This window comes from Homo sapiens, chromosome 18, assembly GCF_000001405.40.
Source record: "Homo sapiens chromosome 18, GRCh38.p14 Primary Assembly".
NCBI lineage: Eukaryota > Metazoa > Chordata > Mammalia > Primates > Hominidae > Homo > Homo sapiens.
The window spans coordinates 60,122,370-60,148,608 of record NC_000018.10 but is presented as its reverse complement, the minus strand read 5'-3'; the positions used below and the strand labels follow the sequence as shown (position 1 = coordinate 60,148,608).

General features: G+C 37.4%; 1 long non-coding RNA gene across 1 annotated transcript in view; it reads right to left on the bottom strand.

The window, feature by feature from the left end:
• The window catches only part of LINC03111 (long intergenic non-protein coding RNA 3111), a 36,163-nt gene extending 12,587 nt beyond the window's left edge, over positions 1-23,576 (bottom strand). The window contains exons 1-2 of the long non-coding RNA NR_186639.1: positions 23,387-23,576; positions 18,954-19,109 (exon numbers count right to left, since the gene is read on the bottom strand). This is a non-coding gene — a long non-coding RNA (long intergenic non-protein coding RNA 3111). The remainder of the gene's footprint in view (positions 1-18,953; positions 19,110-23,386) is intronic.
• Positions 23,577-26,239: the final 2,663 nt, after the last annotated feature.

Here is a 26,239-nt window from a genome sequence, read left to right as displayed (position 1 = left end):
CTTAGTGCCAGCCCAATATGAGTGACAGATGAATCAATAGTCCTATCCTTGAGTTAAAAGGTACACTAGGTAAATCATAGATATTTTGAACCTTCTATATTTTAGATTCATATGCTATTTCAAAATGAATTTAATAGTACTGATATAATAAAAAATTGCAAAGGTACTTTGTTTTTAATCCAAACATTTGGGCAAAATTCTGAAACTGTGGGCACCAAATTTTAAATGAAATTAATTATGAATGACACTTAGAACAATGTCACCCAATAAAGAGGTTCTGAAATATTATCTGTATTTTGCAGCACTGTGGATTCACAGCTCGTCAGAGCTGGAGGCAAACTATGAGATTAGCTTAACTCCCTCATTTCAAGCATTTATTTAACATTACTGAAAATCCTATTTTAAGAAAATTGTTATTATTAATTTAAGAGAGTTACTTAAGATCATTATTAAGATAACATTACAGTGCCTTTAGAAGGGTAGACTTTATTATTTTAAAATGATTGATGGAACTGCAGGTCATTATCTTCAGTGAAACAACTGAGAAACAAAGTCAAATACCTTATGTACTCATGTATAGGTGGAAGCTAATAATGTGTACACATGGATATGGGCTGAAATAGTCATTGGAGACTCAGAAGGTGGGACAGCGAAAGTGGGTTGAGGGATGGTAAATTACTTAATGGGTACAATACACACAATTTGTGTGATAGCTACACTAAACACCCAAACTTCACCATTACACAACATATCCATGTAACAAACCTGCACTTGTACCCGTTGAGTTTATATACATTTTAAAAATAATAATAAAATAAATCTAATCTATCAACTTCTCAAGTACAATCATTTTCCAGCTTAAAGTAAGTTTTAAAATCATTAAAGCATCAGTTGAGTGAATAATATAGACAAATACAGAGATAGGCATAGATACAGATGTTGATATTCCAGGTAAAAAACTCTGCAAGCTCATTTTAGCTGGCTTCCATGCCGAAACTGTGAAAAAACGTTTCTTTACTTCCTCAGCACCCCCTTGAGCATACATCTCAAGAAGCCTCTGAGAACACCATGAGGAACGGCCCCTGACTTCAAGTGGCTTTGCAAACCCACAGTACATGTGCTGCGGTTATGTGACAGTTTAAACCTGTTTTCTCTTAAAGCTGAACTGTATTTGAAAAAATATAATAGCTCATCCCTGAGAATTTTCTTTTCCAGGGAAATAAAAACAATTCTACTCCAGGACTGCTTTGTTTCGTTTTCATATCTGGTTTCAAATGAAGAAAAAGATTAGCAGCATTTATATTAAATACTGTTGAATCAATAGATTCCCGACTCCATTGACTAATATAAATCAACAGAATGGACTAAAGTAATTATAGCCTGAAAGGTTTGCAAATGCATACTTTTGAATTGATTTTTTGTTATTTACTCTCATGTTCCAAGGCAAGTTAAAGAAGCCTGTATGTGTCTATTCATTATCCATATTTGCAAATATGTCTAGGTGCTACAGGAATAATATTTGGAATCATATCAAAATTATTTGTCCTCTATCTAGCCAAGGTCACACATGGCTGAAAGGAGAATTAGGATCTTTTGAGCAAGAATACACATAAAATGAGTCAGTTACAGCTTTTGACTTACAACTTGGTACCTTGAGACACAAAGTCATGCTACAACCTTGAAAAGGAGACTTTGTGGAAAGGAAAAAGAGGGTTTATAAACAACAGAACTTCTTTTTATAGATCAAGAATCAAGATTAGTGAGTGAGCCAGAAGCCTTACTTCCCATTGGCTCTGTCTCAGGAGGCCCTGTCATGGGGCGCCAGCACAGGGGAGTCACTCATGGTAGCGTGGAAAGGGAGGTGTAGCATCTTTAGGCAGGGAAGGACCTTGAGACTGCACTCTCCAGTTCTTCACGGCCTGTGAACGGTGCAGAAGGGACTGTGAATTTCCCAAGTGTCCCTCGAACCATGTGAAACTCAGGAGAAAGGTGAAGGTGCTGGCTATGTTCTTGAGGGGTGTGCCGAAAACTGAGAAGAGTCTGCAACTTTACCCTACTTGCCAGCTAATAAGTTAGACTGCCACTGTTTCATAGATCCTGGAAGAAATCATCAGACCCCTGGGACAGAGATGAAGGTCAGGTTGATGAGTCAGAGTAACCACCATGGTCTGGCTATCAGTACCTCTCATGCTCCTTCTGCAAGCCCCAGTCCCACAGGGAAACAGAAAGAAGACTGAATGACGGCTGCACGCGGGTTAAGGAACCCAGCTCTTTCATACGGGCAGTAAACATCCCTGCTCTGTGCTCCAAAGAAGACAGTATCTCTACCTCCTGAGACTGTTGAGATCCTCGAAATGACAGTCCAAAACAAAGAGCTATCCATTCATTGCTCACAAAACATGCAGAAATGTCAGATAGCCATGGGAAATTGTCTCCCAACAGGGTAAAGTGAGCCACTAGCTGGGTAATGTAGTGAAGGAAAATCAGAAGAAATCACCTGGGAGTCCCAGCTGAGAACAGAGGAGGGAGCCTGGTTTAAAACCCTGGAGCGATCACCATGTATTGCCCATGCCCTGAGAACAGAGCACAAGACACAGCAGTGAGGTCAGAGGCCTCTATACAGAGACAGCAGGATAAGAGAGCTCCACTGGAGTTAAGCACTATTGCCATGAACGCCAGGGGGATATCTGGGATCTTCCAGCACCTGATCCCTTCTTAACAAGGAAGAGGGAAGAGAGAGGCCTGCAAGAGAGGGAAGAAACTTACCTGGCAGAGAATTAAGCCCTGAATTGTCTATTTACTCAAATAATACTGAATTAATCTGAAAGAAATTGTCTTAAGTGGAAAAAGAACTGGGTTATTGTTCTTTAATTGGCATGTTTAATTCCACTGCTGGACAGCCTCAGTCCAGCTTCAGTATAAATGGAGACTCCTGAACAAGATGAGATCAGTTATAGGTAGATAGTAACTATTTTTTGCCTGACTGTAGTGTGTAAATTTTGACTTATGTGTTAAGTTTGTACTTCATTATTTAGTATGCCACGATGACAGGATACATTTATCCCATCAGGAAGTTTTTAAAGGGTGTTTTTAATATACAAAAATATTACTTTATAGAGTATATTTATGAAATCCAAACATTGTCGATTAAAAAAAACAAGAACAAAAAGTAGGTCTTTGAAGAGTTTAGTTGAATTCACACGATTCCACAAATCAACTAAGGGAAGTTAGAAATTTTTTCAGCTACAACCATAACCTTTTGAAGTCAATGTCACAGAACACAAACATGTCCTTTCATAAAACCTGCCTTAAAGACACTGTCATGGCATAATCATAGCGTGGCAGACTATTAATCTGATCACATTTTCTAGTCTTCTCCACAAAGTCCAATTTCCCATTGTTTAATAGTCAGTGGCTCTTCTCTGACCTTTCTATAACATTTTCCATTTCCTTAGTTTAAGCCAGCACCTCAGACACTACTGTGAGAGGACAATTTTCAAGTATTATGTTGGGGTTTCTATATGCAGCCTTCATATTAATGTATACTGGTGTCAACTGGTATAATGTAAAGAATCCTGGCATAGAAATTCAAAGGCCTGGGACCAAATTCTGCTTCTGTTCACTTGCTGGCTTTGTGATTTTAAATAAGTGACAATATCCATGCCCCTCATCTTTCTCACCTTTAAAACTGAGAAGATAATGTATCACTAAAACCAATCAATTAGTTACAATTATTGAAATGTGCAGCATAATCCACATAAAATTAGTATCTTGTACAAATACACATTTCTACCCTAAATTCTCTGTGAAAGAAAATTAAACTGTTATTCAGGGCCAAAACTGACTAGAGGAATTGTACTTCCTATGTAAGCAACGTTATTTCTCTCTAGGATAAGTGGCTCTTTATTTAAGCAAAACTATTAACGGTAGTTTTAGATTTGAAAAGGAAATGTAAAAATGATAATCTGCAAGGGGAAAAACGAAATAAAGAGAAATAAATTTGTACAATACACTACATTAAGAGGAATTTGGAGGTTCTCCAACAGCTTAAGAGAGAGACACAGGGAATTCAAGGACCTGCAGAGAAAAGAAGGAGGGGCCCAGCAAGATGGCCAGGAGCCAGGGCTCTACACGGTGAGATGTTCAGGGAAAATGGCCAAGTGACTTTAGTAGGCAAGTTATGTTACTTATTTTATTTTATTTTTTGAGACAGTCTCATTCTGTTGCCCAGGCTGGAGTGCAGTGTGAGTGATCTGCCCGGATCAGCCTCCCAAAGTGCTGGGATTATAGGCATGAGCCACCATGCCCGGCCCTGTTTTTCATTTTATTTTATATTTTATTTTATTTATTTATTTATTTATTTATTTATTTATTTATTTATTTATTTTGAGATGGAGTCTCGCTCTGTTTCCCAGGCTGGAGTGCTGTAGTGTGATCTCAGCTCACTGCAACCTCCGCCTCCCAAGTTCAAGTGAATCCCCTGCCTCAGCCTCTCGAGTAGCTGGGATCAAAGAGGTGCGCCACCACGCCTGGCTAATTTTTGTATTTTTAGTAGAGAGAGGGTTTCACCATGTTGGCCAGGCTGGTCTCAAACTCCTGACCTCAGGTGATTCACCCACCTCAGCCTCCCAAAGTGCTGGGATTACAGGCACGAGCCACCACACCCAGCCCAGTTCTGTTATTCAATTTTAACTCACTTGTTGCATAATGCTGTGTAATACATCACCCACCTAAGCCCTAAATTTTATTAAAATCCATTACAGACTCTCAGCATGCGTGTGGTCATTTGGATGATGAAAGAATCTGGATGTCGGTCAACGGTGGACGGCACTAAGGGGAAAATACCTGCAATAGACAAGACCTCAGGCAAAGGGAAGACATGGCTGGAGGCAGTGAGGAAAAGTATCACTTCCAGAGCCCCCACGACTTTTGGAAGAGACTCAGGTTTCTGCTTTTTGTAGGGTGATAGTTAAATTGTTTTATTTAAATCAAAAAGGCAAAATGACTTGGAATAGCCTGACAGTTAACACCTGGTTTTCCTCACTATTACCACAAAACAGCATGGAAATACCTAAGAGAAGGTAGGAAAAAATAACATACAAACAGCCACATACTTTACAATCGTTTCTAAACCATAGCCTCCTCCCAGCTCATATATTTAAAAGTTGATTTTTATAAATGTCCAAATTTTAAGTAATTTGTATTAAATAATTTCACAAAATGACTCATTTCACCCAAATTTGGAAGTTGTTGACTTCAAGGCATTAGAACACTATCATACATTTTTTTATTTTTTCCATGGAAAATGCTGAAGCCTAGAAATATGTTGTAACTAATCAATTTCATTCTTTGTCTTTTTTTTTTTTTCATTTTATTTTGCAGAGTAATCACTTGCTGAGAGTCAGTAATAAAGGTCTGCTACCAGGGCACAAGATTCATTTAATGCCTATGGGAAGATGGGCAGCTGAGGAAGAGTTCCGATGACCATGTTTGATGAGTTTTGGGGTTATTTTTCTTCTGACTGTTGCCATAGTAACTAAGGAAGATGAAGTGAAGAAATCACCGATGCTTTCTTGCAAAGCATTTCTTTTTTTTTGGAGATGGAGTCTCGCTCTGTCGCCCAGGCTGGAGTGCAGTGGCATGATCTCAGCTCACTGCAAGCTCCGCCAAATCTGTAGTCCTACCATTGGTATGGCTGACAGATGCAAGATGATGAGGAGGGAAAAGAGAGACCCAAGAGATAACTCCAAGAAGAGGAAGAAGTATCTGACCTAGCGAAGGAGATTTACCAACAGTTGAGAGAACCTCAGAAAAAGTGGTCACAACTGGCATAGCTCGTAGAGGTTTTAGCCTTAGTGAGAAATAATTTGTGACTTCTAATGTAAATAAAATATGAAATATAAAATATAAAGGACAGTACAAAACTATTAATCACACTTGTTCTTACATGTGTTTACGAAAATTTTTCTTAGAAAAAAGGAAGAATTAATACTCTTTAAAACATTATAAAAGCTACTAATAGGGCTGTCCACATACTTTTGTTCATATGACTTCAACTTACTGAAGTTTCCTGGTTCTAGAGCAAAAACCAAGGAGGAATTATCTTTTGTTTTGGTTTGTTTGTGGCTTTTCAATTGCAGTAAGAACACAACATGAGATTTACCCTCTTAACAAAATTTTAGGTGTAAAGTACAGTAATGCTAACTTATAGGCACAATGTTTTGCAATAGATTTCTGGAACTTGGTCATTTTGTATAACTGAAACTTTATACCTGTTGAATAGCAGCTTCCCATTTTCCCCTTCCCCCAGCTCCTGGAAACCACTATTCTACTTCCTGGTTCTATGTGTTTGACTATTTTATGTACCTCACATAAGTGGTATTTGTGCAGTATTTGCCCTTCGATCACTGGGTTATTTCACTTAGCATAATGTCCTCCAGGTTCATCTATGTTGTCACATATGTCAGGATATCCTGCTTTATTAAGGCTGAAAAATATTCCATATTTATAAATACCACTATATATACCAATATATACCACATTTTCTTTATCCATTCATTCACTGATGGATATTTAGATTGTTTCTGCATCTTGGCTATTGTTAATAATGCTGTAATGAACATGGGATATAAATATTGTTTGAGATCCTACTTTTGATTCTTTTAGATAAATGCCCAGAAGTAGGTAATTCTATTTCTAATTTTTTAAGGAACCTCCATATCGCTTTCCATAGAGGCTGCACCATTTTTCATTCCTACTGTGTACAAACGTTCCAATTCCTCCACTTTCTCATCTACACTTGCTAAATAGCTTTTGTGTGCTTATCCTATTTTATTTTTCTTCATGCAAATCTTGTGTATCTGGTGTTGAACTTCATGTGCTTATTCATTTATCGTATTTCTTCCCCCAGAATATAAACTCCATAACAACAGGAACTTTGTCTTTTTTGTTCACTGCTATGTCCTCATCATCTAGACAAGTGCCTGGTATGTAGTGTGTGCTTAACAAAATTTGGTGAATAACTGCTTGAAATTTGTATTAGAAAAAAAAATTGCAATTTAATGTTTAAAATACATTTTGAAAATGAGATGAACCCACCTACCAAATATCCTCCAATTTTATCATATTATTTTTATATATCTTAATCTTTAAATTGTTTAGCTAAAAGGATAGCCAAGGTAATTGTTACCAACAGTTTATCTAATACAAAATGAACACAGACACAAGTTTAAGGATTATGTTAAAATTAAATTCCTTGGCCGGGCGTGGTGGCTCACGCCTGTAATCTCAGCACTTTGGGAGGCTGAGGCAGGCAGATCACAAGGTCAAGAGTTCGAGACCAGCCTGGCCAATATGGTGAAACCCCGTCTCTACTAAAAATACAAAAATTAGCCAGGAGTGGTGGTGGATGCCTGTAGTCCCAGCTACTCGGGAGGCTGAGGCAGCAGAATTGCTTGAACCTGGGAGGCGGAGGTTGTAGTGAGCCAAGACCGGGCCACTGCACTCCAGCCTGGGAGACAGAGTGAGACTCTGTCTCAAAAAAAAAAAAAAGATTAAATTCCTTGACTGAGCGTGATGGCTCACACCTGTAATTCCAGCACGTTGAGAGACCAAAGTGGGAGGATATCTTGAGTTCAGGAGTTTGAGACCAGCCCCGGCAACATAGTGAGACCCCTGTCTCTACAAAAAATACAAAAATTAGCTGAGTGTGGTGGCACATGCTTGTAGTCTCAGCTACTTGGGAGGCTGAGGTGGCAGGATCATTTGAACTTGGGAGGTCAAGGCTGCAGTGAGCCGTAGTCACGCCAAGGCACTTCAGCCTGGGCAACAAAGCAGATATTGTCTCAAAAAAAATTAATTCTTTAATGTGTCTCTCATTTTTCTCAGGAAAACAGTTTCAACTTAAAGAAAACTACTGACAACTCATATGAGTTGCCCATTATATGCTCAGAAGTTGGCTACTATTAAAAAACATCTATTTCCATAGGAAAGCACCCTTGAAGGTAAAACTAAATGTAGCCTGTCTTACTGGGGTATTTTCATTCATGGAGTTTGCCAAAGAGAATATCCCATATTCAACACTACAAAGGCTAAATATCACACTTTAAAAATAATTATCAATCCATTTTAGTTTCCTTTGAATTAATTCCTGTATCCTGGTTTAAAAAGTGACATCAGGAGGGAATAGTTTGAATTGGTAGCCGTCCAAGATATTTTCTGTTGTCTCAAAGAGTATATTCTTTTTTTTTTTTTTTTTTTTTTTTGAGATGGAGTCTCACTCTGTCCCCCAGGCTGGAGTACAGTGGTGCAATCTCGGCTCACTGCAAGCTCTGCTTCCCGGGTTCACACCATTCTCCTGCCTCAGCCTCCCAAGTAGCTGGGACTACAGGTGCCCACCACCATGCCTGGCTAATTTTGTTTGTATTTTTAGTAGAGACGGGGTTTCACTGTGTTAGCCAGGATGGTCTCGATCTCCTGACCTTGTGATCTGCCCCCCTCGGCCTCCCAAAGTGCTGGGATTACAGGCGTGAGCCACTGCGCCTGGCCCTTCAAAGAGTATATTCTAATATTACTTCTACAATGTCTGACAAATCAGTTCTTCTTAACCTTTTTTGGTATTGAGGATATCTTGAGACTATAATGAAGGCAATGCAGCCTATTCTAATAATTTTCCTAAAAGAAGCACAAATATGCACAGACCAAACACTTTCCATACAGTTTTGGGGGTGTTTGGATGACTCTTAGCCCCAGCACCATAGTCCAGGGACACGTTGTCAAGAACCTGTCATTAATAAAGCAAAGTAATGATGATATTTTAGTCTTTGAGATCTACCAGATAACTTATTTTACAAACTTACTTTTCCAAGGAAGCAGGAAATTAAACTGTTCAAAGATTGATTCATAGAAATGTAGCATTTTGGCTCTCTTGAATTAGGCTTTGAAAAAAAAAAAGCAAAAACTTGAGAACTAGAGGAAGAGCTCCATTATGGCATTATTTTATTTTGTATTCAAAAACTTAGCTAGGAATCACCAGCTGAAGCTTGAGCTAATTTCTTGTCTTATAAGGGTAAATGGAGCTTTTAGCTCAAGAGAAATAAATGGGACATTCTGCCCTTCGGTAAATGAGAAGGACAGGCAAACCCTCCATCAATATATCTGGTAAGTAGTAGACTGGGTTTATGAATACAGTGCATATTCATACAAATACTTGATTAGCAGAGTGAAAACAGGGTACATTTTGATCCTGAGATAGTAGAAAAGCCAGTTGAGGTTGGGTGTACTATGTTCTAGCTGTGTTTTTCTCTCAAGTAACAGTTTTTAAATTGAGCAAGCCATTATCAAAGTGACCATAGACTTAATCTCTGGGAAGCAATGTGACTGACAGCATTCTCCCACCAGACCTTGGAGAGGCGATTCACAGCCCTGTAGGGTCTTGCCTTCTCTGGGATATTTTCTTTCCCTCTGGGCTTTTTCTACATAGTAGGAAAAGGAAAATGGCTGTAACGGCAATAGCTACACACTGACAGTTTCGTTAGAGGACATGTGTCCCGACTTATGAACAAGAAAAGGTTTTTTCCTCTGATGAGCTTCCCACTGGTGCTAGTTGATTGATGGTAGAGTTCTCACAGCATAGCATCAATGATTTCACCACCTTTGCACCTGTACCAGCTTTGGGCTTCTCTTTCTCCTGTGTGCACTGCCCAGGATGTAATGAGAAGAGTCTGGTGCCAATGGGGAGCAGGACATCTCTTCTTCCCCAAACAGAGCCATGAGAAGAAAGCTGTGTACACCCAGTCAAGCCCTCTTCCTCCAACCTCGTAGATCTAATGGGTAGCGCTAATGGTTTCCTAACAAACATTTTATAACTTAAAGATCAAAATCTTCACTGAAAACATTTATCATGAATACATTGATCATAACATTCAGGAAAAGGATATATTAGACCATCAACCCAAAAATGCTAAGAAAGTCCATTGTAGAGATTATGAAACTTGAGTTATTTTATATTTCTTCATTTTCATTTTGTTAAGGTTTTAGCTTATGGATTACTATACAGCATTTTTATATTCTATTCTAACTTATCCCAATATATATAATAGTCTATGAGATTTAGATGACTATGAATTGTTTCTAATAAAGATTTTTATTTTTCCTGTTTTTCTTTTTTTCTGAAGTTTTTTTCAGAAGAGACCTATTATTATTAAGAACCATTACACGTGTCAGTAATAGTCAAAACCTCAAATAAGCATGGTCATACTTATTTAACATTTTTTCTCTCATACTGCCATGCCTATTTAACTACAGAATTCCATGTAATGGGATTTTAACTTTGCAAGTTCTATTTACTTCCTAGTTGCTGAGCATGGGAGACCTAACTTAAGGACGCAACAAATTCTTTCCATCTAAGTATCCAAAGAAATTTCTCAGAAAAAATCCACACACTCACTGCCTATGTCTAAATCCTTCATTGACCTGAAAATCTTGAAGGACTCAGAATGCTATGGTCATTGTTCTAAGAACTGTAGAGATCAGGGCTGTAAAAGCAATGCAGTTAGTTTCTCCTCAAGAAGATCTGGCAAATGTTTAACAAATACTGTTTTTATTAGCACTTCCAAACTAAGAATATACTTTTTGAGAAATGGATGTTGATATATGATGTAGCATTTGTATTACTACTAATAAACACTCAACTGATCATGCACAGTCAGTCAATTCTGGCCTAAATTGCATACTTTGAATTTATTTATGCAACAAACAATTATTTAGTGTATATCATGGCTTAAGCAGTGTATTGGTTTGGAGGGGGTACTCAAAAGTATATCAAACATGCAACCCTCAAAGAAACATATCAGCAGAAGTCATGCATACAAAAAGTGTCACTAGAGTCAGGTAGAGATGGAAGTAGAATAAGAATCACATCTGGTTGTGGGATAATATGAACAGAGTCCCAAAGATAGCCTTCTTCTGAGGGCTCTGAGTGGGTAGATTTACTTTGAATGTCCTGCTGGAGATAAGGCCAGTTTACACTCAAATGCTCTTTTGGAGGTTTTTATCCTCATCCATCTGACTTTCAGAACCTACTCTCCATCATCTACCTGCAAACTACTCTCCTTAATTAAACAATTAGACAAGTAAAGAGTTTATATTTTTGGTTGTTGTTGTTCTACACTCTTTATTGGCCAGAAGTTCTGTGGCTCCATATGCTAGCTGCCCTTCTTTTATTCTCTCCACTTAATCAAATCAGGAAAAAAATAAAACTTCTTGCTTTATTTTTAAATGCTGAAACACAAAGGAGAGCTGTTTGCTAACCATTCTACGCCATCTTGAAAGTGCTGCTTGCACAATTTCTACTGATGTCAACTTTTTCGAACATTTTTCTCTTATATTTTCACTTTATCATGTAAGTAATCATAAGCATATAAATTTGCTAATTGTTATTTATTATATTAATATAGAGACTGTAGTAAAATTTTCCCCCCACAAGATGAAAAAATCATAATAATATTTTAATATATTTATTTCAGGAGACTTTTTCCTGTGCAAATAGAGGCTTTTTTAAAACCGTATATAGGCTGTTTCTGTTTTAACCACTGGAAACATAGCATATATCTCTTGTTAGTGTTTTTTATGTCAATACACATTTATTTATTTAATGATTATTTATTAAGTACCTTCACTATCCTATATGTGAGTGTGTGTGCGTGTGTGTATATATATATGTGTGTGTGTGTTCTTTTTTTTCTTTCTTTCATTTTTTTTTTTAAATAGGATCTTGCCCTATCATCTAGATGGGAGTGCAGTGGCATGATCACAGCTCACTGAAGGCTAGGACTCCTGGGCTCAAAAAATGCCCCCACCTCAGCCTCCTGAATAACTAGGACTACAGATTTGTGCCACCACGCTCAGCTAATTTTTATTTTGGGTAGAGATGAGGTCTTGCGATCTTGCCGAAGCTGGTCTCAAACTCCTGGCCTCCAGTGATCCACCCACTTTGGCCTCCCAAAGTGCTGAGATTACAGGCGTAAGCCACCATGCTCAGCCTACCTTCACTACTATGAACACGGAGAATACCATAACAAACAAATGTCTAACCTCAAAGAGGTCATATTCTGACCAAACTGGACAGATACAAATAAAAACAAACAAACAAGTAAACTAATGAGTAAGAATAATTTCGAAACCAGTAGGTGCTATAAGGTAATAGAACAGGTAGATGAGAGAAGATGGCAAGAGGGATGGGAGTGTGGGTGCCCACCTTAGGCAGGTGGTCATGGAACATGGGTTGGAACAAGTAATATTTGAAGGAAGATAAAAGTGGCAAGAAGGAGCCATTCATGTGAGGATTCAGGGAGAGCATTCCCCACCCCCAAGGAAAAAAATGGGACAGCAAGGATGAAAAGCTGAGGGAGGTGTCAAATAAGAAAAAAAATAGCTGCTGATATAGCTGGGAATGGTGAACTAGAAAGTACAAGATTCCAGAGAGGGGGCAGCACCTAGCAGTTTGAGAAACCATGGTCATGAGAGTGGATTCTTACCTAATTGCAGTGGGAGTTCTCAGAGAACTTCATCTCCGGACTCTCAGACTCCTCTCTTCTCTGTTGCCTCTCCCAGCACAGTTTTCCCTTGTAATTTTATGAACCTGTATTCAAGTTGTGCTCTCCTATCTTAATTTTTCTCTTTATATCCTGGGCTCTACTTTGCAAACTGAGTTTAATGACGTTCTGTAGACCCAACTTTTTTTTTTTTTTAAAGACAGAGTCTCGCTCTGTCACCCCAGGCTGGAGTGCAGTGGCACAATCTCGGCTCACTGCAACCTCCACCTCCAGGTTCAAGCGATTCTCCTGCCTCAGCTTCCCCAGTAGCTGGGATTACAGGTGCGCATCACCACACCCAGTTAATTTCTGTATTTTTAGTAGAGACAGGGTTTCACCATGTTGGCCAGCCTGGTCTCGAACTTTTGACCTCAAGTAATCTGCCCGACTCTGCCTCCCAAAGTGCTGGGATTGCACCAGCACTTTGAGCAGTTTGAGAAACCATGGTCATGAGAGTGGATTCTTACCTAATTGCAGTGGGAGTTCTCAGAGAACTTCATCTCCAGACTATCAGACTCCTCTCTTCTCTGGTGCCTCTCCCAGGCACAGTTTTCCCTTTTACTTTTATGAACCTGTATTCAAGTTCATAAGAGAGCCACCGCGCCCAGCCAAGACCCAACATTCTAATTTTCAACATTCCCCAAATTGCTAATTTATTCCCTCCTTTGTTCAACTATGAGCTCTGATACGTAACATATGCATGCACTAAAATAAAAATTTAATAACATTTGTGAAAAATAAACTGAACAAAACACTTAAAATATCTGTTCTTTGGAGTACCATAGTTAATTTTATAAACTTGCTTCATTGTTTATTCAGATCACTGACCCCTCAACAACTTGGTGGAACATTAAATTAACACATTATTGTTCCACCTCCTGGTTGTGCCTCTTTTTCTCCAATGTCAATGCTACAGTGTATGAGGGACCAAATCCACTTTGCATAAGCAGTTAAACTCACAGCCTAACAGGATTTGGAATACCTAATAACTGTGTCTGGGGATTATGTTTTTCTTAAATCTCAGACTTTTGGTTAAGGATTTAGACATATGGTCCCATACAAAGCAATCTGGTACACGAGAACTGTTTTGTCTATCATGAGTCTCAGAAGGGTTATATCACTGGTTTGGATGATACAGGAAAGAAAAGTAAAATTTTAGTTATGCTTCTGAAGCATTAATTCAAGACCCTGCACATCTGCCCACAGTTGACCTTCCTAACTTGTTCTGTAGTGAAGGGTAAGGCACTTTTCTATACTAATTTGTCTGGGCCCATGAGTATCCTTGTATTATGAATGGTTTCCATGAGAATTGAGGGCTTTCTAAAGATAGTCACATGCTGAAAAAAACAACAACTTAGGGCCCTGTGCTATGATGAAGAAGAGATACTTCCCCTTGGATACTGTAAAATAATTTTTAGGAAACCAAAATCTACTCAAATGTTTCAGTAGAAAGTGACTAAAAGTAATTGGATCAAGGTGCATGGTTTTTGTTTTTGTTTTTGTTTTTGTTTTTGTGTTAGGAGGGAACTGGAGTAATTGTTTTTTTTTTTTTTTTTTTATACTTTCAGTTCTAGGGTACATGTGCACAACATGCAGCTTTGTTACATATGTATACATGTGCCATGTTGGTGTGCTGTACCCATTAACTCATCATTTATATTAGGTATTTCTCCTAATGCTATCCCTCCCCGCTCCCACCACCCCATGACAGGCCCTGGTGTGTGAAGTTCCCCACCCTGTGTCCAAGTGTTCTCATTGTTCAATTCCCACCTATAAGTGAGAACATGCGGTGTTTGGTTTTCTGTCCTTGCGATAGTTTGCTCAGAATGATGGTTTCCAGCTTCATCTATGTCCCTACAAAGGACATGAACTCATCCTTTTTTATGGCTGCATAGTATTCCATGATGTATATGTGCCACATTTTCTTAATCCAGTCTATCATTGATGGACATTTGAGTTGGTTCCAACTCTTTGCTATTGTGAATAGTGCAGCAACAAACATACGTGTGCATGTGTCTTTATAGTAGAATGATTTATAATCCTTTGGGTATATATACCCAATAATGGGATGGCTGGGTCAAATGGTATTTCTAGTTCTAGATCCTTGAGGAATCACCACACTGTCAAGCCAAGCACAGAAAGTCAAATATCACATTCTCACTCACATGTGGGAGCTAAAAAAAAAAGTGAATCTCATGAAGATAGAGAGTAGATCAGTGATTACCAGAGCCTGGAAGGGTACTAGGGAGGTGGGATGAGAGGCTGATTAATGGGTACAAATATACTTTTTGATAGAAGAAATAAGAGCTAGTATTAGACAGACAACTAGGGTGACTATAGTTTACAACACTCTATCGTATATTTCAAAATAGCTAGAAAAGAAGCATTCAAATTGTCCTAGCATAAACAAAAGACAACTGTTTAAGGTGACAGATAGCCCAAGTACACTGATTTGATCTTTACAAATTATCCAAAGTTATTAAGTTATCACATGTACTCCCAAACTATGAACATCTAGTATGTATCAATAAAAAAGATGGGGATAATGAGGATTAAATGAGACAACGCATTTAATGGACCTAGCACAGAGCCTGCCACACACTAATTTCTTACTAGATGTGATTATGACTACTATCAAAAATAAAAATAAATACAGCATTTTAGAAAGAAGATTGTAAATCCATAAGAAGCAATCTTACCCAAGCAACCAAAACCATGATCAAATGATCAAAAAGTAAGTTAATGTGGGTAATCATTAAAACGATAAATATTTACCTTCAACATTTTATTTCAGCTTAGAACATTTAAATGTACATTTATTTGCTGATCTTTTAACTTAGAAAAACCTAGGCCTTTTCCTGGATATGAATCCTCGGGTTCTGCTTCATCTTTATACTTATGATGCATTTGCTTAAGGTTGTTTTAAAAAAATAAATGGAGTAAAAGACCAGCCTGGGCAATACGGTAAAACCCCATCTCTATTAAAATACAAAAAATTAGCCAGGTGTGGCAGCATGCACCTGTAATCCAGCTACTCGGGAGGCTGAGAGAGGAGAATCACTTGAACCCGGGAGGTGGAGGTTGCAGTGAGCTGAGATCGCGCCTTTGCACCCCAGCTTGGGTGACAGAGCGAGACTCCATCTTTAAATAAATAAATAAATAAATAAATAAATAAATAAATAAATGGAGCTAGAATCCAAGACTATATCTGAAGTTATATGATTACATATTCCTCTCAGTCTTTTATAGAGACCTCCCCAAAGTTAATTTGAAAGCAGTTTTCTAGCAATTCTTTTTCGTTACATCTTTTGAAAGAATCAACTTAGTTTTCCCAGAAAAAAATAACCTTCTTGTTTTTGATATTTAACATTAGCAAGTTTATACAATCTTAATTAAATGACATAATTTTCATATTAACTACAGCTGGCACTAACAGGTTTTGGAACAAACAGAACCTGACTGTCAGCAAGCATACAAGTCAAGTGAGAAAAGCAGAGGTTTGCAGGCCTATTAAAGGGGTGCCCAGAAGTTGAATGTATTAAATTATCACATGTATCCTAAAACGAGGTACATCTACTACACATCAATTTTTTAAAAAGATGGGGTGAATGAGGATTAAATGAGACAATGCATGTAATGGAGCTAGCACATTCTGGACAGGTGATGGGGAGTGTCAATTAATCTAAAGAATTCCTTCAGAGGTGTTTGCTGAAGAGAGTATCTATGCCATTAATATCAAAGAATAAAAATGTAGCATTTACATCCCCAAAAGGATTTTTGGAGTGTCTCTGAACTATTAGTGAAGCAAATAGAGAAAAAAGCAAATAGAGAAAAGAACATTCTCTGTCAGCAACCAATGCTACTGCCTGTCAACAAATATTTGGGGTCTATCTCCTAAGTCAAGAGTGAAATGGCAATAGTCATTCATTCATTCATTCACTTATTTTTTCAAAAAATGTTTGAGTATTATGTACCCAACATTGTGCAGAGCTGGAATTCTAAAAATGAACAAGATAAGCTCCTTCCCTCAAGAAATTCACAAATGACAGGAGAGATAGTCAACTAAATAGTTAACAGTGCATGGGAACCATGATTAAAATGCAGTCCCTGAAAAATAGGATTCAAGGAGCATGACTGACAACTAAAAACACCTCAGAGAACAGTACGTTTCCAGTGTTCTCTCCAACACTACAGTAATATACAAGATTTATGGACATTTCAAAGACTTCCATCTTAATGGAGATTGAGAATTATCATCGAGAAACTGAAGAGAAAATAAGATACGTCTCAGAGACTGATGATGAGAAGTAAAGGAAGGCAGGGAGTCAAAAGAGGATATTTCTGGCAATTTAAAAAACTGTAATGTTATAGTCTATAAAGCATATAATTAGAGAGTTTTGTAAGAAAAATCAAACAAATTGTTAGTACATTTTTCAAAAAAATTATATTATGCTATTTATTTTACCTCAAGTGTGTGAATATTATTAATAACAGGATTTAACTTTTATTTTTAATCTTTTAACACTCTGGTACCTAAAATAAGGCCTAACCTAAAATTAGTGTAAAAATAAAGTTTGAGAAATCAGTGAATAAATAAATAAATAAATAAATGGAGTATTAGGGTAGAGAGTAAGATCTTGTAAGGTCTGATGCATTTCTTTTCATCCAACTTTCATCCAACTTTGAGTCTTAAATATAGGAGTTCACTGACCCAAGCAGTGATGAGCATGTTTAAATATCTTAAGATACCTGTGAATATAGCGTATTTTGGGAAAGACAAAATATTTGGTGTAACTATTGTATAGGGTATACATAGAATTGGTTTTATCGTCAAATGGTAAACAAAAGACATGCTGCGGTGATATGGCAGAGTCTTACAATTCAGGCTACCATACTTACAGGCAATGAGAATTAGTGAAAATTTTCAAATAGAGGAGATGCAGATGGGATCTCAGAAAAGATAAATCTGGCAGTAGTTTGGAGAATGAATTGGAATGAAAAGAGCCTGGAACAAAGATATAAGTTAAATATTAGCCATATAATTAACTTGAGGGAAATTTGGTAAATTTTAAGTTCATATGACTCTGATCTCTTTTTTATTAAAGGTAGGAGGGAGGGAGAGAGAGAGAGAAACCAGGTTACTCACAGTCTTTTCACTTTAGAGAATGGATGCGTAACTCTAAGACAAGAAAATCAAGAAAAGAAATGATGAGCTAATTTTTAACATGAAGATCTTAGGTTGTCTGCAGTCATCCATGCATATATATGTATCACAGAGTAGTTGATTCATTCATTTATTCAACAAATATTTATTGAACATATACTATGTTATCCTCACAATGCAGAGAACTGGGGACTCAAGACAGAAATGATAGATGTTTCTGCTTCAATGAATTCATGTCTGATGTAGAGATAAAAAAGTAATAACATAAGATGAATAAGTCCAGGGTACATTAGGGTCACAGAAAGTGTAGCCTTTAAGTGTGTGGAGGAGTCTTGAGTACAATAACCTGACTTGAAAGATAAGCTTATGTTTCCTGGATGGGGAGGTGGGTAAGAGAGCTTCTTGGAGGAAGGCTGAAACATGAGATGTTCTGCTCAGCTGGTGATGGGACAGAGAATAGGAAGAAGCAGATGCTGAAGTGAAAAGGGCCAGATCATGAGGCCCCTTTGCAATGCAAGGAAACTTTACATTTTATCCAGTGACAGCAAGCAGTGGAAGAAATGTGAATAGGAAAATGCTATATGAATTAAATCTGCGCATTGAAAGGAATACTTTGTTGGCAAATCAAAGACTTGATTGCTAGCAAGTCAACAAAGGGGTTGTTGCACTTTCTCTCAATATAGATATAGAAGATATAGATATTGATATTGATATCGATATAGATATAAAGATAACCTGCCCTGGTATAGTGACAGTGACAGGGGAAGGGAAAGATGAGGACTGGAGGAATTCAGAGGTAGGTAACCTGGCCTAGAGATGATTGGATGAATGGAAGTATTAATAAAAGAGAGTGAATAATTCAGTATGACCTTTGTTTTCAGGTTTCGGCAGCTGGGCAGATACTGGTGCCATTTCACCAAAAAAAGGAAGATCTCTACGATAAAGTACTTAATAGACTTCTCTTGTCAAAAGTAAGACAGAAATACAAAATGTACATAAACACAGTATTCTCTGAAGGATGCTGAATTAATATTGTTCAAATTCATTACTGAGATTAAAGCAAAAAAAGAATCAGTTCATGATGAATCAGAATTTGAATAGCAAAATGAAACATTATTTTATTACTGACAAGGCTGTATTGGAACAACTGTCCTGAAAATAAAATGCCAACAGTTAACTTTCACTTACAGACTTACCCATTGTTTTATTCCAGCTCTGTCTGCTAGCTTTTCTCCATGAAATTTCTCCGTCCATTAGCAGTTTTTGTGGAATTTGCTTCACTGTCATGATGCTACATATATCAACTTGCCTCTGTGCTGCAAATGATCCATATTCTTGGCCAGAAGAGCTGTCTAAAATATGTACATATGACAAAGATATTCGGGACAGAAAATTTCTTAACGTGGTGGGATGATGAAAAATTGGCATTAACATGCACAGAACACATAAACTTTGCATTTGAAAGAGAGACAACAGCATAAGATAATTTCACATGAAATCCAATTGTAAGATTTTGGTTTTTCAACAACTTATAGAATAAAATGACTAGAAAATAGTAGAATTTAAAATGATTTTTATGACCATTTCTAAATTATCTTTGATGAGTCCCAAGATAATTTTCCACAAAATACTTACTAGTTCTGACCCACATTTATTTCTCCTTTACATGTTTTCATTCATTCAATAACTGCTACGTATAACACACATGATGAATACTTTTTCAAAGAAATAAAGGGAAAAAGAAAAAGAAAAAAAGAAAGGAAAACAAAGGAATGAGAGTGAAAGAAAGAGGAGGGGTTGGGGAGAGAGAGAAAGAATACTCTAAATCTTTAGTAAAATTTTGGTCATACCTAATTACTATCTCTTTTTTAAAATCACTGATAATGAATCACTTCTCAAGAGAAAGTATGGTTGGACATAGTGGCTCACATCTATGATCCTAGCACTTTGGGAGGCTAAGGTGGGAGGATTGCTTAAGGTCAGGAGTTCAAAACCAGGCAGGGGCAACAAAGCGAGATCCAGGCTCTAAAAGAAAAAAAAAATTGCTGAGTGTGGTGGTGTGCACCTGTAGTCCCAGCTACTTGGGAGGCTGAGGAGGGAGACTTATTTGAGCTCAAGGCTGCAGTGAGCTGTGATTGTACCACTAAACTCTAGCCTGGGTAACAGAGTGAGATCCTGTCTTTAAAAACAAAGAAAGAAATTATGGCTTTACAGAAAAATTCCACTGAATGATCTTCAAATGATTTACATTCTGTTAAATGTTGGAGGTCCAGTTCTCTCTATTGCTTCGTTTCCCATCAATGTTGTTAAATTTTAGGAGAAATGAAAGTACTTTTAACTTTTTTAAAATGAAACATTGAAAAACTACCTTTGGAACTGATAATTTTCTTAATAAGTAAACATTTAGAGTTTTTATATTTTAGGGAAATTTCTTTAAAGCTCAATACAAAAGCAAACTAAATGAATCTTATGTCAAGTTATAATATACACTAAATTTTATTTTTTTTAATTTCAGGAATAGAACAAATTCTCTTATAATTTTGCTAAATAACATGCACTATAAAATAATTGTCACTAATAATTACTTGTTATTAAACATTTCATCAACACCATCATTAGCACTGTCATTAACAAGTCCCTCTATTCTAACTCATTATAGGAGTCAGTCTCTCTCTCTGTTCTTCTCTTCCTCCCTACCTCCATTTCTCATTTTTCTAATGCATATTTATTTACCTGATTTGCCATTTAATCAAAGGCTACCCTATTTTGCCATTACTTAATATTATTGAATACTATAATTCTATTACATTAGTTCTAAATGTAAACAGACCTATTTTCAAAGCTGTGAATTCAATATATTTAAATAGCAAAAAATGGCTATTATCAAATGGAGATATGTATATACACATATAGTTTATAGTAACGCTTTACTGTACATATACATTCATAAATAATGTACTTTGAAACTATCCTGCGTTTATCCTAGACTCAATGGGATTATGACAAATAATAAACAATCTAATTTTTAAGGGTTTCATATTAAGCAATTCAGAATGTTGGCAAATATTGCAAAATCATGACAGCTGATATGGTTTGGATCTGTGTCCCTGCTCAAACCTCAGGTCAAATAGTAATCCCCATTGTTGGAGGTGGAGCCTGTTGGGAGGTGACTGGATCATAAGGATGGAGTTCTCACGAATAGTTTAGCACCATCTTTTTGGTGCTGTTCTCGTGACAGACTTCTTATGACATCTGGCTGTTTAAAAGTGTCTGCAACCTGTCTCCCTCTCTCTCTTCCTCCCGCTCCAGCCATAGAAGAGGTTGCCTGCTTCACCTTTGCCTTCCACCATGACTGAAAGTTTCCTGAGGCCTCCCCAGAAGCTGAGCAGATGCCAGCATCATGCTTCCTGTACAGGCTGTGAAACCGTGAGCCATTTAAGCCTCTTTTCTTTGTAAATTGCCCAGTCTCAAGCATTTATTTACAGCAGTGTGAGAACAGCCTAACACAACAACGTTTAGTGTTATGCTATTATTTTCTCTATGTAGTATTACAGACAATTTCTATACAAATGCCTTCACAAAAGAGTAATACATAAACCAAATAAATAAAATCTACAGTTTTTCTTAATTCTAAATTATAACCTCTGCAATAAATACAACTGTTTCATAAGAATTTCTGCCATTCAAAATAGATTGAAAATGGCATATTATAAAAAGAATATAGACAAATACCCTTTCTACCTTTCAATTTTGTAGCTTTAAATTGATACCTGAACTTCATGGCTATCTGTGTTTATTCATTCATCTATTCATTCATTTGTCATTTTCAGACAGTTTGGTTCCATCTGCCACCTGGTTATCAGACTTCTAGGAAGAAGAATCATATTACCATATAATAAAAAGAAAACGGGCTTTGTAGTGGGAATATTTAAATTGGCATTCCAGCTCAATCATAACCCTGTAGGCAGAATCCTGCACTCTCACACTGGGACTTTATCTACCCCTTAGGGAGCATTTGGAAAAAAATATACAAGTGGTTTTGATTAAGCTTAGATGTTAGTGCCTAGGAATAAGAGCTTCTAACTGTGATATTCTCAAAATTAAGACTTGTTCTGCCTAAAATGTTAATCATCATCCTTACGAATTTAAGAAATAAAGCCTGGCAGGGTGTCTCATGCCTCATCCCAGCACTTTGGGAGGCCAAGGCGGGCGGATCACTTGAGTTCAGGAGTTCAAGACCCACCTGGCCAATGTGGTGAAACCCTGTCTCTACTAAAATTAAAAAAAAAAAAAAAGCTGGGCATGGTGGCACACACCTGTAATTCAGCTACTTGGGAGGCTGAGGCAGGAGAATTGTTTGAACCTGGGAAGTGGAGGTTGCAGTGATCCAAGATTGCACCACTGCACTCCAGCATGGGCAACAGAGCAAGACTCTGTCTCCAAAAAGACACTTTAAGAAAAAGAAATTAAGAAATAAGCTACTCATTAAATATTGATTAAATATTGCTTTTAGCATCGCAGATATGCAATTACTCCACCAAAGTTCACCCTCACCTGGGTATGTAAGTTTCTTTGTAATTATGCTATATAATTTATGTGTATGCCCATGTTAAGAAACTATTCATTTTCTTCTGTGCTTCAAGTACTCAGATAAGCCTTTTTCAAGCAAAAATAATGTTGTAGGATCACACAAAGTCAAATATTAAGCAACCTCAAAGAAGTGATGAAACTTTAACTGACCCTGATCGAATTAATCCTGGTTCATAAAATACTTACTACACTAAAAGAGAGATCTGAGATAATCTGTTTCAAAGAAGTTGTTTGAAAGTCAAATGGAGTACTTACTTGACCAAAAGTTGCTGGCCCATCTCTTTGATATAACCAATTTTTAAAATTACAAAGCCTGATTTCAACCACTGGGACAGAAGAGAAGAAATAAGGACAAGGCTCCTGCATCCACATAAGTCCAAAGTCAGGAAAAGACATGAGGACACATCAAGTTTGACCCTTGAACATTTGAACAGAAAGTACTGGACAAGCCAATAACCAGGAAAATATTTCAAGTTCTGGCCAGAGAGTCTAACCCTGGTTTTTACTTCCCCTCCATCTAACATTGGCCTGTAAACATCTGTCCCCTACCTCCTGAGTGTTCAATTCCGTTGAAGTACTTTCAAATATCCTCCAAGTTACACCCAAAAACTATGAATCTGAATGTTCCCAAATGTTTCTTTCCAGCTGCACCAGAGTCATGCTGAGTTCCACCTAGGCAGGTCCCAGTGGTCTGCAGTACTCTTGATTTCTTCAATCTGATAGTAGGCATCTCCAGACCCAGGAATGACTCAGCTTCACTTTTAATTTGAGATTTTATACTCTGCATCACTCCTAAATCATTTAAGAAAGCTGAAATAGCCTTTCCGTTTTCCAAACTCCCCAGACCAAATATAGTGCTGATTATACCCAACAGGTATTAAATAGGGGGGTGATTGCAGTTACAAAGTTGTAATGGTGTCTTTTTTTCTTTTGTAACGGAATGTGTAAATCAAAGTATATACATTGTGTGGTGTTCCTGTTTCTGGAGTTTCATGAGGATTTACACATGGCATTCAGTGTTCTGTATAGATCTGCCTACCTTTGCGAATTCATCTGTTAACCCCTCTTCCTTTGAGAGAGCACCGGCGATGGTGGTTAACTCCTTGTGTTTTCTCTCTCTCCTACTGGTTATTCTTGAATTAAGCACAGACTTGTCAGCTCAGTTGCTTTATCATGAATAATGTGCGTGACCTTGCAGTTCTTCCACAGTTCAGCAAACAAGTGCTAGCTTCAATGACCAAAAATTAAGGAAGGAAAACACAGTTTTTAAAATGATCCATCTTTTAACAGCCTAAACCGATGTGTCTATGGTGCGGCATCTTGCTGTTGTACTTCTGAAATCAGACCTGTGTGAACGATCATTTCTGACTTAACCGTGAGATGCTCACGAGTACCTTTCCTGTTGTTTTGTTAGAATTGAAATCAAGACTATTTCTTTGGAATATATACAACAGTGTTTTTCCACTGTATTTCATTTGCAAAAGTTGAGAACTGCTTTCTCTACCTTTTGCAAAATAATTGATATATTCCATATTGGATTCTCAAAGACTTTAATATGGTGAATCTATTCAACCTAGAAATTGTATTCATCCTTTCATGACTGTGGCCTGAGTTCCCCAGCCCCTCTCCTACTTTTTTTAGATGAGATTTAGCACACTCTCAGTTATTTAAACATGCAACATTTCTTGAGTATGTATATTGAGGCCATCTGAGCTCATAGCTGATTCAGTAACCAGTTTCATGCTGTGTCATTCACTACTTAATACTGCCATGGTGAAAATGTGGAGGAAAAATATATCCTTCTGTGTCTGGGAAGCATATACACTTGTACATTTTTTAATACTCTGATTCTGTAACATTTCTGAGTTTTGTTTTGTTTTACAGAAAAAAAAAGTGATAAAGCAATCAGAAGACCAAGAGGTTTACTATTGATGCTTAGGGTCATCTGACCTTGGCTGGCCAATAGACCTACACGGCCAAATTAATTTAAGAGAGTAACAATTTTTCAAAAGCCAATTTTTTTTCTGTATTTTCTGTATGAAACTGCCAATGTCATGAATAGAAAGGGAGAACCATAAAGGAGAAAGAACGTGATGTTCTGTTATGTTCGTGTGAACCTAAAGAAACAATGTGGAGGCAGGCGCGATCAGCCGAACTCTAGGGACTTGATGGTGTTGCTTGGAAGGCATCCATAGCTGCATTTTGCATTCTTAGTATGTAATCATATTGCCAAAGACAAACTATTTCATCATTTATTGTAAATAACACTTTTCCCCAGACCTACCATAAAGTTTCTGTGATGTATTGTCTTCCAGTTGCAATACAAATTACTGAGTTGCATCAATTGAAGAAAAAAAAAATAGGGGGGTGATTGTTCTCCTATTCTAAATGTAAAAATGAAAGAAATACATACCTTCAGGCAGTATGTACAATACTTTCTGAGTTGGAAAACTTTATTAGAAAAGAAGAAAATAACCATAACTGCCTGTCTGTGGAATGATTATTTAGCTGAAAAATTCAATTTGTACAAGAGAATTGAAAAGTGCTTTGTGGAAGAAAAAATTGATTAGATGCACACTTGAAATCATTTGCATAACACTCTATTCTCATACTTTAAGCTTTAATAGTTTCTGAGTAAGAACTCTTGTCTTTCAAGGTCTGTACTTCCAGGCTGCAGGGTCTGTAGGTAATGACTTCAAGGCCTCGGCAATTAGAATATGGCATCCCTGAAGGAGAAAAAGTGGAAAACTAATAATTTGTGCCCCCTACAAGATGATCCTCAAGAAGCCTAGAGACTGAAAGCTTGGGGATTTAAATTTTCCCTGTAAGAACTAGGAGAGTAAGTATTTCAAAAGGCAGAGGTGGAGGTCCTTCTGCAAAGATAAGTGCTTAAGAGTTTAATCTTGAGTTTAAAATGGAGCAAAACCAGAAAGTACTGTCTTCCACAGGCTTGGGGACAGGGAGAGTTAAGAGCTGCAGCCCAAGTTCCAAACAATGACTTTTAGAGAAGGCCCTGACTCTGAAAAACAAACCACAATGGGCAGATTCAAATATATCCTGGAAGCATCCCAAAATCTGTAGCATCATGGTGGGAGCTGGAAATCTATTCTGTAGGGCTGCGATTGTTTGGTTAGAAGGATATTGTTTCTTTGATGGGGAGTCCTTCCTTCTTTGATATAATTCATGTGATGAGAAAAAGAGAGAAAAATACCTGGAGACATCTGGAGGTTAATAAGCCTCGTCTCAGTAACTACCAAGGGCAGAATCAAGTAACCATACCACACACACACACACACACACACACACACACACAGTAACACAAGAAAGAGGTGAGATGAAAAGGTTCTTGAGGATTGAATGAGCAGTCGGCAATTCCAAGAAGTAAGTATGGGGCATGGAGTGAAAGGAAGGAAGCTTCACCACCTAAAAAGCAGACAAAAATAGATCATCTTCCCTGAAGAAAGATGAGAAGAGTCTATTTAAACTCCAAAAAATGTCTTTCCCCATACCTTGAAGGAAAGATGTGACAACAATTTCTTTTTACCATTCTGACCAGTATGACTTGACTTGTATTTGCTCAGGCTGGTGGAAATTGAGGAACATCTACTAAAATCAGGAAAGACTAGACATTGAAAGGAGAAGATAAGAAAGGAAGGGACTACTAGATTTGACTCAGCATCCTCACAGTCTGCCCAGGAAACCTCTAAGTCACCTCCTGCCTGACCACCCTCCTCATCTCACTCTACTTCTTTGCAAACTCTACCCTGTTTTACTATAGGGGCTTTGCCTTCCTCCTGTAGTTCCTGCTTAAAACCTAGATTTTCTTTAAGATACTTGGCACACAAAAAAGGAGGGGATTTTTTTTCTCCTCAAGATGAGGAAATGAAACAAA